The 15,063-nt window shown below is 47.1% G+C and overlaps 1 protein-coding gene across 3 annotated transcripts in view; it reads left to right on the top strand.

Moving 5' to 3' along the window:
• TEX14 (testis expressed 14, intercellular bridge forming factor) overlaps positions 1–15,063 on the top strand; it is a 135,368-nt gene that overhangs the window by 81,323 nt on the left and 38,982 nt on the right. For all 3 annotated transcript variants that reach the window (NM_031272.5, NM_198393.4, NM_001201457.2), the window contains exons 11-14: positions 5,594–5,745; positions 8,133–8,323; positions 8,767–8,917; positions 11,057–11,847. In NM_031272.5, the coding sequence (NP_112562.3) occupies positions 5,594–5,745; positions 8,133–8,323; positions 8,767–8,917; positions 11,057–11,847 (1,285 nt within the window). The remainder of the gene's footprint in view (positions 1–5,593; positions 5,746–8,132; positions 8,324–8,766; positions 8,918–11,056; positions 11,848–15,063) is intronic.

Below are 15,063 nucleotides of genomic sequence, written 5' to 3'. Positions count from 1 at the left end.
GTAGAGATGCAGTTTCACCATGTTGGCCAGGCTGGTCTCAAACTCCCGACCTCAGGTGATCCGCCCACTTCGGCCTCCCAAAGTGCTAGGATTACAGGTGTGATCCACTGCGCCTGGCCCTTTGAGCAGCTTTTAACACAACAAGGTGTATTTCTCGCTCACATTGCAATCCAATCTGTGTTGGAGGCAGGGACAGTGTTCCCTGTCACTCCAATCTGTAGCTTCACCACCTTTCAGGCCTTGATCCCCCACTGCATTCTTTGCACTGCCAGTCAGCAAGCAAGAAAGAACATGGAGGGGACACAGTGGGGTTTGGGGCCAGTCTGAAATGGGTATGTTACTGCCTCCCACATTGCAGTGGCCAGAGCCCAGTTACCTTCTACTGGAGGGAAGCTGAGCTGTGCCTTACCTGTGCATCCTGGAAGGAGAGAAGGTGATGGGTGCTGATGAGCCTAATGGCCTGTCACACCTCCTACATCTGGGCCAGGCACTGGCCTGGATAGATATGGAGGGCATTCTCTGCCCTCAAGGGGCTCAGCACAGTGAGAGAGGCAGTCAAAATTCAGGAGTTGGTAAGTGGGCTTTGTTTCCTGTTGGCAAGAGTCAAAGTCTTCCTGAGAGCCCCCAAGCTTTGAGAGGCAGAGGCTCTCCCCTGCGCTTCCTTACTGCCATCCACAGCTCTGAGCCTTTGGGCCAGTATTGGTTCTGCTCTTCTGTGAGGCCTCAGCCACTGGGCAGACCCCTTGCCTAGACCCACCTACTTCCTCTTACCCTTGTCTGCCACCTACCCATCACTGATGCTTTGTTTCTGGTCTCTCACCAGATCTTTGTTTGTCACATACTCTGTAACTTCTCTCAAAGATGAAAAGCTACATGAGGCAGGGATTTCTGTTTTATTTACTGCTATATCTCAAATGCCCAGAACAGGCCTTTGCGTATGTGCACTCAGCATATGTTTTTTGAACAAATGATATAAAAAGGCTCTCACTTCCCCAGACCTGGAGTGCCTTTTGTCCCTCTGCATGGAGAGGAGGCAGAGGTCAGGTTGTGCTTGGCCTTGTGGGCCCTGGTGAGGAGTCTGAATTTTATCTTAAGAACACTGGGATGCTGTGTTCTTAGGATAGGCATTTTTGAACAGTATAGGGTCATGGATGATTTTTAGGTTAAGATCCTTCCTCTAGGCTGGGCATGGTGGCTCATGCCTATAATTCCAGCACTTTAGGAAGCTGAGGCATGCGGATCACCTGAGGTTGGGAGTTCAATACCAGCCTGACCAACATTGAGAAACCCCATCTCTACTAAAAATACAAAATTAGCCAGGCGTGGTGGCGCATGCCTGTAATCCCAGCACTTTGGGAGGCCGAGACGGGTGGATCATGAGGTCAGGAAATCGAGACCATCCTGGCTAACACGGTGAAACCCCGTCTCTACTAAAAATACAAAAAATTAGCCGGGCGTGGTGGCAGGCGCCTGTAGTCCCGGCTACTCGGGAGGCTGAGGCAGGAGAATGGCGTGAACCTGGGAGGTGGAGCTTGCAGTGAGCCAAGATCACGCCACTGCACTCCAGCCTGGGCGACAGAGCGAGACTCTGTCTCAAGAAAAAAAGCAGGGGAGCCGTTAGGGTATGACCGGAGCCATGACACTTTTCTAGATGGGAACAGGCAGAGGCCAGATAACTGTCACTAGTTGAACTGCTCACTTTCTCATCTGGTCCATTTTTAATCTGAGTTAAAAGCTTTCAGGGTCTCCTTATTGCCTGCAAGATTAAGTCCAGACCCATTTTCAGGGAGCAGAAGCCTCCCTAAGTGAGGCTCCACTTGTAGTGTCAATCTCCTAACTGCCCTGCTCCCTCCTGACCATTTGAAGGCACTTTTACTACACTGCTCTCTGCATCTGGAATACCTGGCACACGCCAATTTAGCCTTTTAAAGTCACTTCAGACACAGTCTCCCAACACTCTCTGTGAAGTCTATACTGATGCTCTCATACCCTGAGGCACTTTGCATATTCCTCTTCTCACATGCGTCACGCAAATGTACCACAGTCATTTTTATACAAGTGTGTCTGTGCCACCAGATGGGGAGTTCATCACCAGCTCTGGGCCTGCCACTTATGGTAAGTGCTCAGTAAATATTTTTTATTTTTTTGAGACAAGATCTTGCTCTGTCGCCCAGGCTGGAGTGCAGTGGCACGATCTCGGCTCACTGCAACCTCCCAGCGTCAAGCGATCTTCCTACCTCAGCTTCCTGAGTAGCTGGGACTACAGGCACATGCCACCACATCCAGCTAATTTTTTTTTTTTTTTTGAGATGGAGTCTCGCTCTGTTGCCCAGGCTGGAGTGCAGTGGCACGATCTCGGCTCACTACAAGCTCCGCCTCCTGGGTTCTCGCCATTCTCCTGCCTCAGCCTCCCAAGTAGCCAGGACTACAGGCACCCGCCACCATACCCGGCTAATTTTTTGTATTTTTAGTAGAGATGGGGTTTCACCATGTTGGCCAGGATGGTCTTGAACTCCTGACCTTGTGATCCACCCGCCTCAGCCTCCCAAAGTGCTGGGAATACAGGCGTGAGCCCCTGCGCCCAGCCAATTTTTGTATTTTTTATAGAGATAAGGTCACGCCATGTTGCCCAGGCTGGACTTGAACTCCTGGACTCATGCGATCTGCCCGACCTGGCCTCCCAAAGTGCTTGGATTACAAGTGTGAGCCACCACACCCAGCCTTCTTTTCTGTGGGTGGGGGACACAGGATCTCTCTCTTTTGCCCAGGCCATAGTACAGTGGCTCACTACAATCTCAATCTCCTGGGCTCAGGCAGTCCTCCTGCCTTGGCCTCCCAAAGTACTGGGATTACAGGCATGAGCCACTACGGCTGGCCGGTAAATGTTTCTTAAATGATTGGATGATCTAGTTGAAGGAAAAACTTAAAATGGTTCAGAGCAGGGTTGACCTCTCTGGCTATGTGTTCAGGAGCAGTGGACGCTAAAGGGTGTGCACTTTTGTCAGTGATGGATCGCCATCTGCTATTGAGAGAAAGGTACCACAGTTTCTTCTCCTTTTGCTCACCAATAGAAATGTGAATCCTAGCCCGAAATGGAGCTTTGGAGATGGCCCAGCCCAATGCTGTCCTTATATAGTTGAGGAAACTGAGGCACCCAGGGGTGAAGCAATGGTGTGAAGTTACCCAATTGATTGGTTAGAGACACAGATGGGGCTAAACAGATAGTAGAGGATGTCTCCAGGATACAGGGGCAGGATGGATTGGAGGTTGACAGGAACACCAGCCATGAGACCATGAGACAGGGCCTAGTGGTGACCATGAAGCCAAAATGGGAGGGAATAAAGTGAAATGCATGGAGTTGCTGGGGTCAACAACTGGCCAAGTGAGGGGGTAGGAGGTAACCAAGGGTCTGTGAATGTCTAGGAATGACCTCAGGATGGAACCTCAGGTAGAAGTGTCAGAAATGTTAGACAGCAAGCCGTTGCAGGTGTAACAACATACCCTTCTTTGAAAGCTGGTAACATGAGTTGATTATTCACCAACCCAAAGTAGCCTTCAATCCCACATTTATTTTTGGTAACACTCTACTAGGGCATATCAGTTTGTTGAATGTCATTGTCAAGGATAGCATTCCATCTCTTGGTATAAAAGTGATACAGCAGTTTCTCCTACCTTCAGCTCCTTCCTTTTTTTTTTTTTTTTTTTTTTTTGAGACAGTAGCCCAGTCTGGAATGCAGTGGTGCGATCTCGGCTCACAGCAACCTCTGCCTCCCGGATTCAAGCAATTCTGCCTCAGCCTCCTGAGTAGCTGGCATTACAGGCACGTGCCACCATGCCCAGCTAATTTTTGTGTTTTTAGTAGAGATGGGGTTTCACCATGTTGGCCAGGCTGGTCTTGAATTCCTGACCTCAAGTGATCCACCCGCCTCGGCCTCCTAAAGTGCTGGGATTACAGGCATGAGCCACTGCTCCTGGCCCTTTTTTTTTTTAAGATGGAGTCTCACTCTGTTACCCAGGCTGGAGTGCAGTGGCTCAGTCTTGGCGCACTGCAACCTCTGCCTCCTGGGTTCAATATATAATTATGTATTAAATTTGTATGCATATCCACACTGTTCACACTATACTAGGCCATAGGTGACTTTTCAGCAATATAACTAAAGTCAATACTAGCTTTTTCACCTTCATGACTTCATGAACTCACTGCCCTCTATCCAAAGATTTGCTGGAAGAAACTTTATTTAGGGAAGTTTGCTCAAAGTCTGAGAAGCCCATCTCATCGTCTAAAATCTATCCTTTTTCCAGACCAACAAAAAACTTGCTGTCACTTGCTTTTTAAAAACTTAATTCTTAATTATCAACTGCCAGTCATTAAGTCTTGACTGAATGCCTCCCATAATATTCATACTAATTCTTTACATGAAAGAGCGCTTTATGGCTCACCGAGTGTTTCTACATCCATGATCTCATTTGACTGTCATGACAGCTGTGGGCACAAGTCAGTGCTGAGTTTACCCTGAGGACTCTTGCTGGGCCAGAAGACATTTAGGATGCTCTGACTTAGCTCTTAAGGAGTCTGGTTGGGAAGAGTTATTTAAGCATATGAGTGAACCCTTGAGTGCTAAACTGAGAGGACACATTCCCAAAAGGGCAGGAGTTCAGAAAAGAAATAATCATGAGGAGTTGGGGAAGTCCCAGATGGCTTTGATAAAGCAGATGGGGGTTGAGAGGGCTCTTGAAAGAGTTTACGTTCATTTATTCAACAGCAAGCATCAAGGCCCTGGTGTAAGCCCAGAAGTACAGTGATATAAAAGCAGATGAGTTGCCTACTCTCATGGAGCTGACTCTCTAGAATGGAGGGGAGACAGATAAACTAAATGAACACAAATTCAGATAATAAGTGCTCTGAAACCAATAAAACAGGACTACTTTAGATTAGGCAGTCAGGGAGGGCCTCCTTGAGGAAGTGACTTTCAGACAAATATCTCAGTCACAAAAAGTAGCTAGTCATTCTAGGATCTGTGGGCAGAGCATGCCTGGCAGAAGCTGCCAGTGCAAAGACTTGAAGAACATGAGGTATGTTGGAGGAACTGAAAGAAGGTCCCTGTGACTTGAGTGGAGTGGGTGAGCAGTAGAGTTGCCAGATGAAGTGGTGGAGAGGGCCCGGGTGGAATAGTAAGGAATTGCAGGTATTGGAACAGCTCTGAAGCAGTGTGGACTAGCTCATTGTCTAGCTAGGTTTCCAGGAACTCAAAGAGGTTGTCAGCCTTCAGAGGCAAAGTTTTCACAAATGTAGTATGTTGATTAAAAGACCCACGAGCCTGGCCAACATGGCAAAACCTCGTCTCTACTAAAATACAAAAATTAGCCGGGCCTGGTGACACACACCTGTAATCCTAGCTACTTGGGAGGCTGAGGCAGGAGAATCGCTTGAACCCGGGAGGTGGCAGAGGTTGCAGTGAGCTGAGATCACGCTGCTGCTTTCCAGCCTGGGTGACAGGGCAAGACTCTGAATGAATGAAAGAATGAATGAATGAATGAATGAATAAAAGACCCTTTAAGGCATGAGCGCTGACTTGTGAGTTTCCTTCCGTAGCGAGGACAGAGGTGTACAGAGGGACCTGACTCGAGTGCCCCTTCCTACGCAGCTATACAACTGGGCCGCACCAGAAGTGATCTTACAGAAGGCAGCCACAGTGAAATCAGACATCTACAGCTTTTCTATGATCATGCAGGAGATTTTAACAGGTAGATCAAGATCATTAATGGTTGACCAAAGTCCCTATTCTTAGGTTGCATTTTTCTCCCCCCACAGGAGTTACTGACTTTTATGAAAATAGAAGACTTATTAAAAAGAGACTTCTTGGCTGGGAGCAGTGGCTCACGCCTGTAATCCCAGCACTTTGGGAGGCTGAGGCGGGTGGATCACCTGAAGTCAGGAGTTCAAGACGAGCCTGGCCAAAATGGTGAAACCCTGTCTCTACTAAAAATACAAAAATTAGCTGGGCGTGGTGGCACGTGCCTGTAGTCCCAGCTACTTGGGAGGCTGAGGCAGGAAAATCACTTGAACCTGGGAGGCAGAGGTTGCAGTGAGCTGAGATAGCGCCACTGCACTCCAGCCTGGGTGACAGAGTGAGACTCTGTCTCAAAAGAAAAAAAAAAGACTCAGCAAAGCCCATCCATCTGCTTGTCAGTGATGATGCATTTAATCCACACTAAAAAAATTTATTTTTATTTTTATTTTTTATTTTTTTTGAGACAGAGTCTTGCTCTGACACCCAGGCTGGAGTGCAGTGGCTCGATCTCGGTTTACTGCAACCTCTGCCTCCCGGGTCCAAGCGATTCTTCTGCCTCAGCCTCCCGAGTAGCTGGGACTACAGGTGCACACCACCACGCCCAACTGATTTTTGCATTTTTAGTAGAGACGGGGTTTTACCATATTGGCCAGGCTGGTCTCGATCGCTTGACCTTGTGATCTACCCACCTCGGCCTCCTGAAGTGCTGAGATTACAGGTGTGAGCCACCACGCCCGGCCGAAGCAAACTTTTTAACCTGAATATTGGTATCAGTACTTATGATCTATGTGTGGTATCCCTTGAGAACTTGTAAATTAGGGGGAAAGACTAGCCTCTGAGAAGTAAACTATGAAACACACCCTGTGTCCATTAGATGTATAAACAGTGTCACTTGAAAGAAATGGATGTACTTCCAAATCCACTGCTCTGATGTGGAGAAAGTAGTCACATATCTGAAGATGGAAGGAATCCTTCAAAAGAAAGACACACACACACACACACACACACACACACACACACACACACACACACACACACACACAGTAAAATCACATTAAGGGCTGCTTTTTTTTTTTTTTGACAGAGTCTCACTCTGTTGCCCAGGCTGAAGTGCAGTGGCGGGATCTTGGCTCACTGCAACTTCTGCCTCCCGGGTTCAAGCGATTCTCCTGCCTCAGCCTCCCAAGTAACTGGGACTACAGGCGCGTGCCACCATGCCCGGCTAATTTTTTCTATTTTTAGTACAGACGGGGTTTCACCGTATTAGCCAGGATGGTCTGGATCTCCTGACCTCGTGATCCGCCCACCTCAGCCTCCTAAAGTGCTGGGATTACAGGCGTGAGCCAACGTGCAAGGCTTTTTTTTTTTTTTTTTTTAAGATGGAGTCTTACTCTGTTGCCCAGGCTGGAGTGCAGTGGCGCGATCTCAGCTCACTGCAACCTCCACCTCCTGGGTTCAAGTGATTCTCCTGCCTCGGCCTCCCAGAGTAGCTGAGATTACATGTGCTCGCCACCACACCCAGCTAATTTTTGTATTTTTAGTAGGGATGGGATTTCACTGTGTTGGCCAGGCTGGTTTCAACCTCTGACCTCAGGTGATCCACCCACCTCGGCCTCCCAAAGTGCTAGGATTACAGGCGTGAGCCACCACGCCCGGCCAAGGGCTGCTTTTTTATGGTGTTTGCAGTCCCAGAGGCAAAATGACAATATACATGAGATGAATATTGGGCTCCCCTGCCAGCGGGGAGCCCATGTGTACATGTTGCTGACACTATTGTTTCCTATCTCTGTGGCGGTGATCTCTCTGGTAAATGAGTAAAGTGGCTTCTCACTTATGAATTGGCCTTCCAGGTAGTTTTTTTTTGTTTTTTTGTTTTCTGTTTTTGTTGCTAGGCTGGAGTGCAGTGGCGCAATCTCAGCTCACTACAACCTCTGCCTCCCGGGTTCAAGCGATTCTCCTGCCTTAGCCTCCTGAGTGGCTGGGATTGCAGGTGTGCGCCACCACGCCTGGCTAATTTTTGTATTTTTAGTAGAGAGGGGATTTCACCATGTTGGCCAGGACGGTCTCGATCTCTTGACCTTGTGATCCACCCGCCTCGGCCTCCCAAAGTGCTGGGATTACAGGTGTAAGCCACCACGCCCGGCCCCTCTGGGTAGTTTTTCTACAGAGAGAAATTAATATATAAGGAAATGAATTGTTTCTAAAGTACAGTGGATTAGAAAAAAAAATAAAGAAGTTAAGTGACTTGCCTAAGGTTACCCAGCTTCATCTGATTTCTTTTCCCCCCACTCCACTCTTTGGTTTCCTAATTTACTCTTTTGTATGACTTTTTCCTTACAGATGACATACCCTGGAAGGGCTTAGATGGCTCAGTTGTTAAAAAAGCCGTAGTCTCGGGGAATTATTTAGAAGCTGATGTCAGGCTTCCGAAACCTTACTATGATATTGTTAAGTCAGGCATCCACGTCAAGCAGAAAGACCGAACTATGAACCTTCAAGATATCCGGTATATTCTGAAGAATGACTTAAAGGCAAGCCCTGAAGTTGTTGGGAGTTTATTTCTGCTTACCTAACTCAGGAGAATAGGGAGTTAGAGACAAGATGAAGCTAGAGACCAAGTTGTAAGAAATTTTGGAAATCCTCATTTTATTACACCATTTCTGTGTTCTTGATAATAGCCTAACTGCTTAACTTGGTGAAAGCAGCATGGAATTGAGGAGGGGAGCTAGGGAGGTTCAACACATATGCATAGTAGGGGCACCCTGTAGGCACTTAGTGGAGATTCAGTGAATGGTAGCTATTATTATTGCTTTTAAGGTATTGGCAATAACAATAAACTAGTTAATTAGGACTAAAGTCAGTCTACCCAACAGGAATAAGAGGGAGTTTATCAGATACTTAGATGGTTTCTAAAGCACCAGTGACATTCAGGATGACTGAGACTATGTCCTTGACAATATTTCCTGTGTTACAGGATTTTACTGGAGCCCAGAGAACTCAACCAACCGAGAGCCCCAGAGTGCAGAGATACGGACTCCATCCCGATGTCAATGTCTATCTAGGACTGACTTCAGAACACCCCAGAGAGACACCTGACATGGAAATCATAGAACTAAAGGAAATGGGTATGGCCTTAATTCACAGGTTGTGTTAGTTTGACACAAATGTGTTCTGAGAGTCACATGAGCTGCAACTAATTGACTCCTCTAAACTGTAGATGTAACTTGTTTGTTTTGTGAGATAAAGTCTAGCTCTATTGCCCAGACTGGAGTACAGTGGCATGCTCTCAGCTCACTGCAACCTCCACTTCCTGGGTTCAAGTGATTCTCATGCCTCAGCCTCCTGAGTAGCTGGGATTACAGGCATGTGCCACCATGCTGGGCTAATTTTTTTCTTTTTTTTTTTTTTTGAGATGGAATCTTGCTCTGTTGCCCAGGCTGGAGTGCAATGGTGGGGTCTCGGCTCATTGCAACCTCCGCCTCCCGGGTTCAAGCAATTCTCCTGCCTCAGCCTCCTGAGTAGCTGGGATTACAGGCACGCACAACCATGCCCAGCTAATTTTTTGTATTTTTAGTAGAGACGGGGTTTCACCATGTTGGCCAGGATGGTCTCGATTTCCTGACCTCGTGATCCACCCGCCTTGGCCTCCCAAAGTGCTGGGATTACAGGTGTGAGCCACTGCGCCCAGCCTTACTTTTTAAATTTTTAGTAGAGACAAGGTCTCACGATGTTGCCCAGGCTGGTCTTGAACTCCTGAACTCAAGCAATCCTCCCACCTGGTCCTCCCAAAGTGCTGGGATTGCAGGCATGAGCCACCACACCTGGCCTAAAAAAGTTTTTTTTTTTTAGAGATGAGGTCTCATTATGTTGCTCAGGTTGGTCTTGAACTCCTGGCCTCAAGCAGTCCTCCCACTTTCGCCTCCCAAAGCACTTGGATTACAGGTATAAGCCACTTTGCCCAACCAATTTTACTACATTTTAGTACATTTGAAAACCTTAGAATTTAGAACTGGAAAGGACCTTGCAGTCATCAGGCTTAATGCCTTCATATTACAGATGAGAAAACTAAGGTTCAGAGAGGTTGTAACCTGCTCAGGATCACAGAGAACTTGTTATAGAACTGGAACCCAGGCCTTCCAATTCCAGCCAAATGACCATTCACTCTGACTCTCCTTCAGCAGTGCTGGAGGCCTCCAGAGTGGCCCTGTAACCTCATTACTTTGACAGCTTAGTCCCATTCTCTGTAAGCTGTACACCTGTAAACCAGGGGTGGTGGGTGGTCAATCCTAGCATAAATTTTTTAGTTTTTTCATTACTCCCATAATGTAATGGCTCCTTGGGTGGTATCTAGGCTACTTTTTTTTTTTTTTTGAGACAGTTTCACTCTTTTTGCCCAGACTGGAGTGCAATGGCGCAATCTCGGTTTACTGCAACCTCTGTCTCCCAGGTTCAAGCGATTCTCCTGCCTCAGCCTCCCAAGTAGCTGAGACTACAGGCATGCACCACCATGCCTGGCTAATTTTTTGTATTTAGTAGAGATGGGGTTTCACCATGTTGGTCAGGCCATGGTGGTCACCATGTTGGTCACCATGTTGGTTTGAGACCACTCGAACTCCTGACCTCAAGTGATCCACCCGCCCTGGCCTCCCAAAGTGTTGGGATTACAGGCGTGAACCACCACGCCTGGCCCTAGGCTACTGTTATCAGATGCTCACCAAGAGCATAACTTTAACTGAGAAATAGTCAAACTCTTTTGTGTGAAAAGAAGGCTATGAACGTGGTCCTTAAGATTCAGGGGAGCTGGGCACGGTGGCTCACACCTGTAATCCCAGCACTTTGGGAGAGTGAGACGGGAGGATCACTTAAAGCCAGGAGTTTGAGAGCAACCTGGGCAACACAGCAAGACCCCATCTCTATAAAACAAAAGAAAACAAGATTCAGGGGCCTCTAATTTGCATGTCCTGACAGTTATGCATGTTTGGACACACAATAAAGCTTAGAATATTTCCTCCATGGCTAGACCCCTGCCCTGACAACAATTTCTGCCTCATTCCATGTCAAAATAGGAGCTTTCCCCTAGGGGACACATACTCCCTCACCCTTTGTGAGTGTATCCAGTAGTCTTCCACAACTGGGAAGGGGGTGGGAAAATAAAAAACTTTTTTTTTTTTTTTGACAGTCTTTGCCTCTTGAACAAGCCAAGGCTGCTTAGCTGCCAAATATGTTCATTTTAATGAGTTGCATTTTGCTGTTTTTTTCAATAGGCAGTCAACCTCATTCACCAAGGGTTCACTCTTTATTCACTGAGGGGACACTAGATCCTCAGGCCCCAGATCCATGTCTGATGGCCAGGGAGACTCAGAATCAAGATGCTCCTTGCCCTGCTCCATTTATGGCAGAAGAGGCCAGCAGCCCCAGCACAGGTCAGCCAAGCCTCTGCAGTTTCGAAATCAACGAGATCTACTCAGGCTGCTTGATTTTGGAAGATGACATAGAAGAGCCTCCAGGAGCTGCTTCATCTTTGGAGGCAGACGGACCTAACCAGGTAGATGAACTGAAATCCATGGAAGAAGAGCTGGATAAGATGGAGAGAGAGGCGTGTTGTTTTGGCAGTGAGGATGAGAGCTCTTCAAAAGCTGAGACAGAGTACTCTTTTGATGACTGGGACTGGCAAAACGGTTCACTCAGTTCACTCAGCCTTCCTGAGTCAACCAGAGAAGCCAAGAGCAATTTGAACAACATGTCCACGACTGAGGAGTATCTCATCAGTAAGTGTGTGCTGGATCTAAAGATTATGCAGACAATAATGCACGAGAATGATGATAGGCTGAGGAATATCGAGCAGATATTAGATGAAGTCGAGATGAAACAGAAGGAACAGGAAGAGCGCATGTCTTTATGGGCCACTTCAAGAGAGTTTACAAATGCCTACAAGTTACCTCTGGCCGTGGGCCCTCCATCTTTAAACTATATTCCTCCTGTCCTACAGCTTTCAGGGGGTCAGAAGCCAGACACCAGTGGCAACTACCCAACCCTACCAAGATTTCCAAGAATGGTAAGAGACTTTCAAGGGGGACATTTTGGCAAAAGATCCAGGAAAAGAAATGGTTGTGGCTGGAAACCTTTCACCCAAGTCTCCAAAGTAAACACTGGGGATCAGTCAGAGATAAGCCATCAGGTAACCTGAGTGGGAGGAAGGGGCATCCTAAGCAGGACCCCAGGGCTGGGTTTGACGTTGCCCCTAACCTATGTGGAGGGACTGACATATATATGCAACTGACTCATAGCAAGGTGCTCTTAGCTTTGGGAAATCAGTCCTCCATGGTGGAATTCCAACGTAGATACTCTCTGTCTCCCAGTTCAGACCCAACACACAGCCCATTGTCCTTCTCTGTAAATTCGTATGTATCAAATTGAACCATATTAAATTTCTGTTTTATTAGTTAAAATGGTCAAGTATTGGCAATTTTGCATGGCTCAACTTATTGAATAAAGTATCTTGGATAGGTATTAATCTCCATTCTAAGCTGCTATTCATTCATTCACTCATTCAACAAACAGCTATAGAGCCAGAGGCTATCTAGACTCTGGGTTTTTTCTTTTTTTTTTTTTTTTGGAGACAGAGTTTTGTTCCTGTTGCCCAGGCTGGAGTGCAGTGGCGTGATCTTGGCTCACCACAACCTCCACCTGTGGGGTTCAAGTGATTCTCCTGCCTCAGCCTCCCTAGCAGGTGGGATTACAGTCATGCGCCACCATGCCTGGCTAATTTTGTATTTTTAATAGAGATGGGGTTTCTTCATGTTGGTCACCGCTGGTCTCGAACTCCTGACCTCAGGTGATCTGCCCACCTCGGCCTCCCAAAGTGTTGGGATTACAGGCATGAGCCACCTTGCCTGGCCTAGACTCTGGGTTCTGATGATGAATAAGCCACAAACTCTGCCCATAAGTAGCTCAGATAACAGCTGGGGACTGAGGGACCTGGTGGATCAAAGAAAACCCCTCAGAGGAGGTGAGCAGACACCATGGGAGCTGGCTAGGAGGTATAGCTTGCAGAGAGGCTCCTCCGTGAGTTTCCTTAAGGACAGGGCCAACATCTGACTCCTCCTGTGTCCCAGCACCTAGCATGGTGACCAGTACATAGAAGGAACTCAGTAAATAGTCAGTGAAGGAATGAGGGGATGAATGAATTAATGAATTTGAACAAGTTCACACTCAGAGAGCTGGCTGCCTCTTGAATTTTATAATTTTAGAGTTGGAAGATCCCTTAGACATGGATTAGCCCTGTCAATTTACAGAGTGTGAAGCTCAAGCCCAGTGATATAAACTTCCTGAGGCCCAGAGATGTCAAGATGCGGGTGGGGTGGGAGAGGTCTGCCTCATTGGAAGGCGGATGTTATTACTGATATTATTTAGAATAGCTGGCCCATGGTGATAAAAAGCAGGCCAACTTTTACTGGGTTTTGTTACTGTTTTAGAATTCTCCGCTTAAGAGTTATCCTCTTTTTTATTTTTTATTTTATTTTATTTATTTTGAGATAGGGTCTCACTCTGTTGCCCAGGCCGGAGTACAGTGGCACGATCTCTGCTCACTGCAAACTCTGCCTCCCAGGTTCAAGCGATTCTCCTGCCTCAGCCTCCCGAGTAGCTGGGACTACAGTCACGTGCCACCATGCCTGGCTAATTTTTTGTATTTTTAGTAGAGACAGGTTTTCACCATGTTGGCCCAGCTGGTCTTGAACTCCTGACCATAGGTGATCCACCTGCCTCAGCCTCCCAAAGTGCTAGGATTACAGGCATGAGCCACCGTGCCTGGCCATATCACCCTTTTATTGCCTATACAGGGAAGATAGCTCTCCCTGCCACCTCTCAACTTGCTGTGCTACAACCAAGGGCCAAGTTGGTTAGGGGCAGGTCTCCTGACTCCTGGTCTGTTGTTCTTTCATTGTACAATACTGAATCTTAGTGAGGCTTCAGTCCTCACTTAGAACATTTGGAAAAGCATTGGCATTTATTTTTGCTGGAGTGAAGTGGCACTGTCATGGCTCACTGCAGCCTCAATCTTCTGGACTCAAGCGATCCTCCCGCCTCAGACCCCTGAGTAGGTGGGACTACAGGCTGTATCAGCACACCTGGCTAATTTTGTGAATTGTAGAGATGGGGTCTCAGCACGCCCGGCTGGTATTTATTTCTTTATCTTTTTTTTTTTTTCCATAGAGATGGGGTTTCACTATGTTGCCCAGGCTGCTCTCAAACTCTTGAGCTCAAGCAATCCACCCGCCTTGGCCTCCAAAAGTGTGGGATTACAGGCAAGAGCCACCATGCCCAGCTGTCATTTGTTTTTATATAAAGAGAAGACACAGCCAGGTGCAGTGGTTTATTCCAGCACTTTGGGAGGCCAAGGCAGGTTAATCGCTTGAGCCCAGGAGTTCAAGACCAGCCTGGGCAACATAACGAAACCCTGTTTCTACAAAAGATATCAAAATTAGCTGGGCATGGTGGCGTGTGCCTGTAGTCCCAGCTACTTGGGAGGCTGAAGTGGGAGGATCACCTGAGCTCAGGAAGTTGAGATTACAGTGAGCTGAAATCATGTGACAGCACTCTAGCACAGGCAACAGAGTGAGACCCTGTCTCAAAAACAAACAAAAAAGGCACAAAGAATTTACTTATATCCTAATATTTCTGTTTCCATAGAAAATTAGAGTTTGCTAGAAAACTGTTAGAAATCACTTTTTTTTTTTTAAATTTTTAAAGACAGAATCTTGCTCTGTCACCCAGGGTGGAGTGCAGTGGCACCATCTCAGCTCACTGCAACTTCCACCTCCCGGGTTCAAGCGATTCTTCTGCCTCAGCCTCCCGAGTAGCTGGGACTACAGGTGCGCACCACCATGCCCGGCTAATTTTTGTATTTTTAGTAGAGAGGGGGTTTTACCATATTGGCCAGGCTGGTCTCAAACTCCTGACCTTGTGATCCGCCCACCTTGGCCTCCCAAAGTGTTGGGATTACAGGTGTGAGCGACCGCGCCCGGCCTGAAATAACTTTTATATATTATATTTTGTTATCTATTGCTGCGTAGCAACAACAACAAAGCCCAAAACCTAATGGCTTAAAATAACAATAGTTTATTATTTCTCACAATTCTGTGGGTCAGGAATTTGACAGGTTCACCTGAGTGGATCTTCTGTTCCACATGGCCATTGGCTAGCATCACTCAGTTGTTTGCAGTCAGCTGGAGGTTGGACTGGGCAAGAAGGTCCAAGAAGCCTCTACTTA

This window comes from Homo sapiens, chromosome 17 (genome assembly GCF_000001405.40).
Source record: "Homo sapiens chromosome 17, GRCh38.p14 Primary Assembly".
NCBI lineage: Eukaryota > Metazoa > Chordata > Mammalia > Primates > Hominidae > Homo > Homo sapiens.
This window is presented reverse-complemented; position numbering and strand designations above follow the sequence as displayed.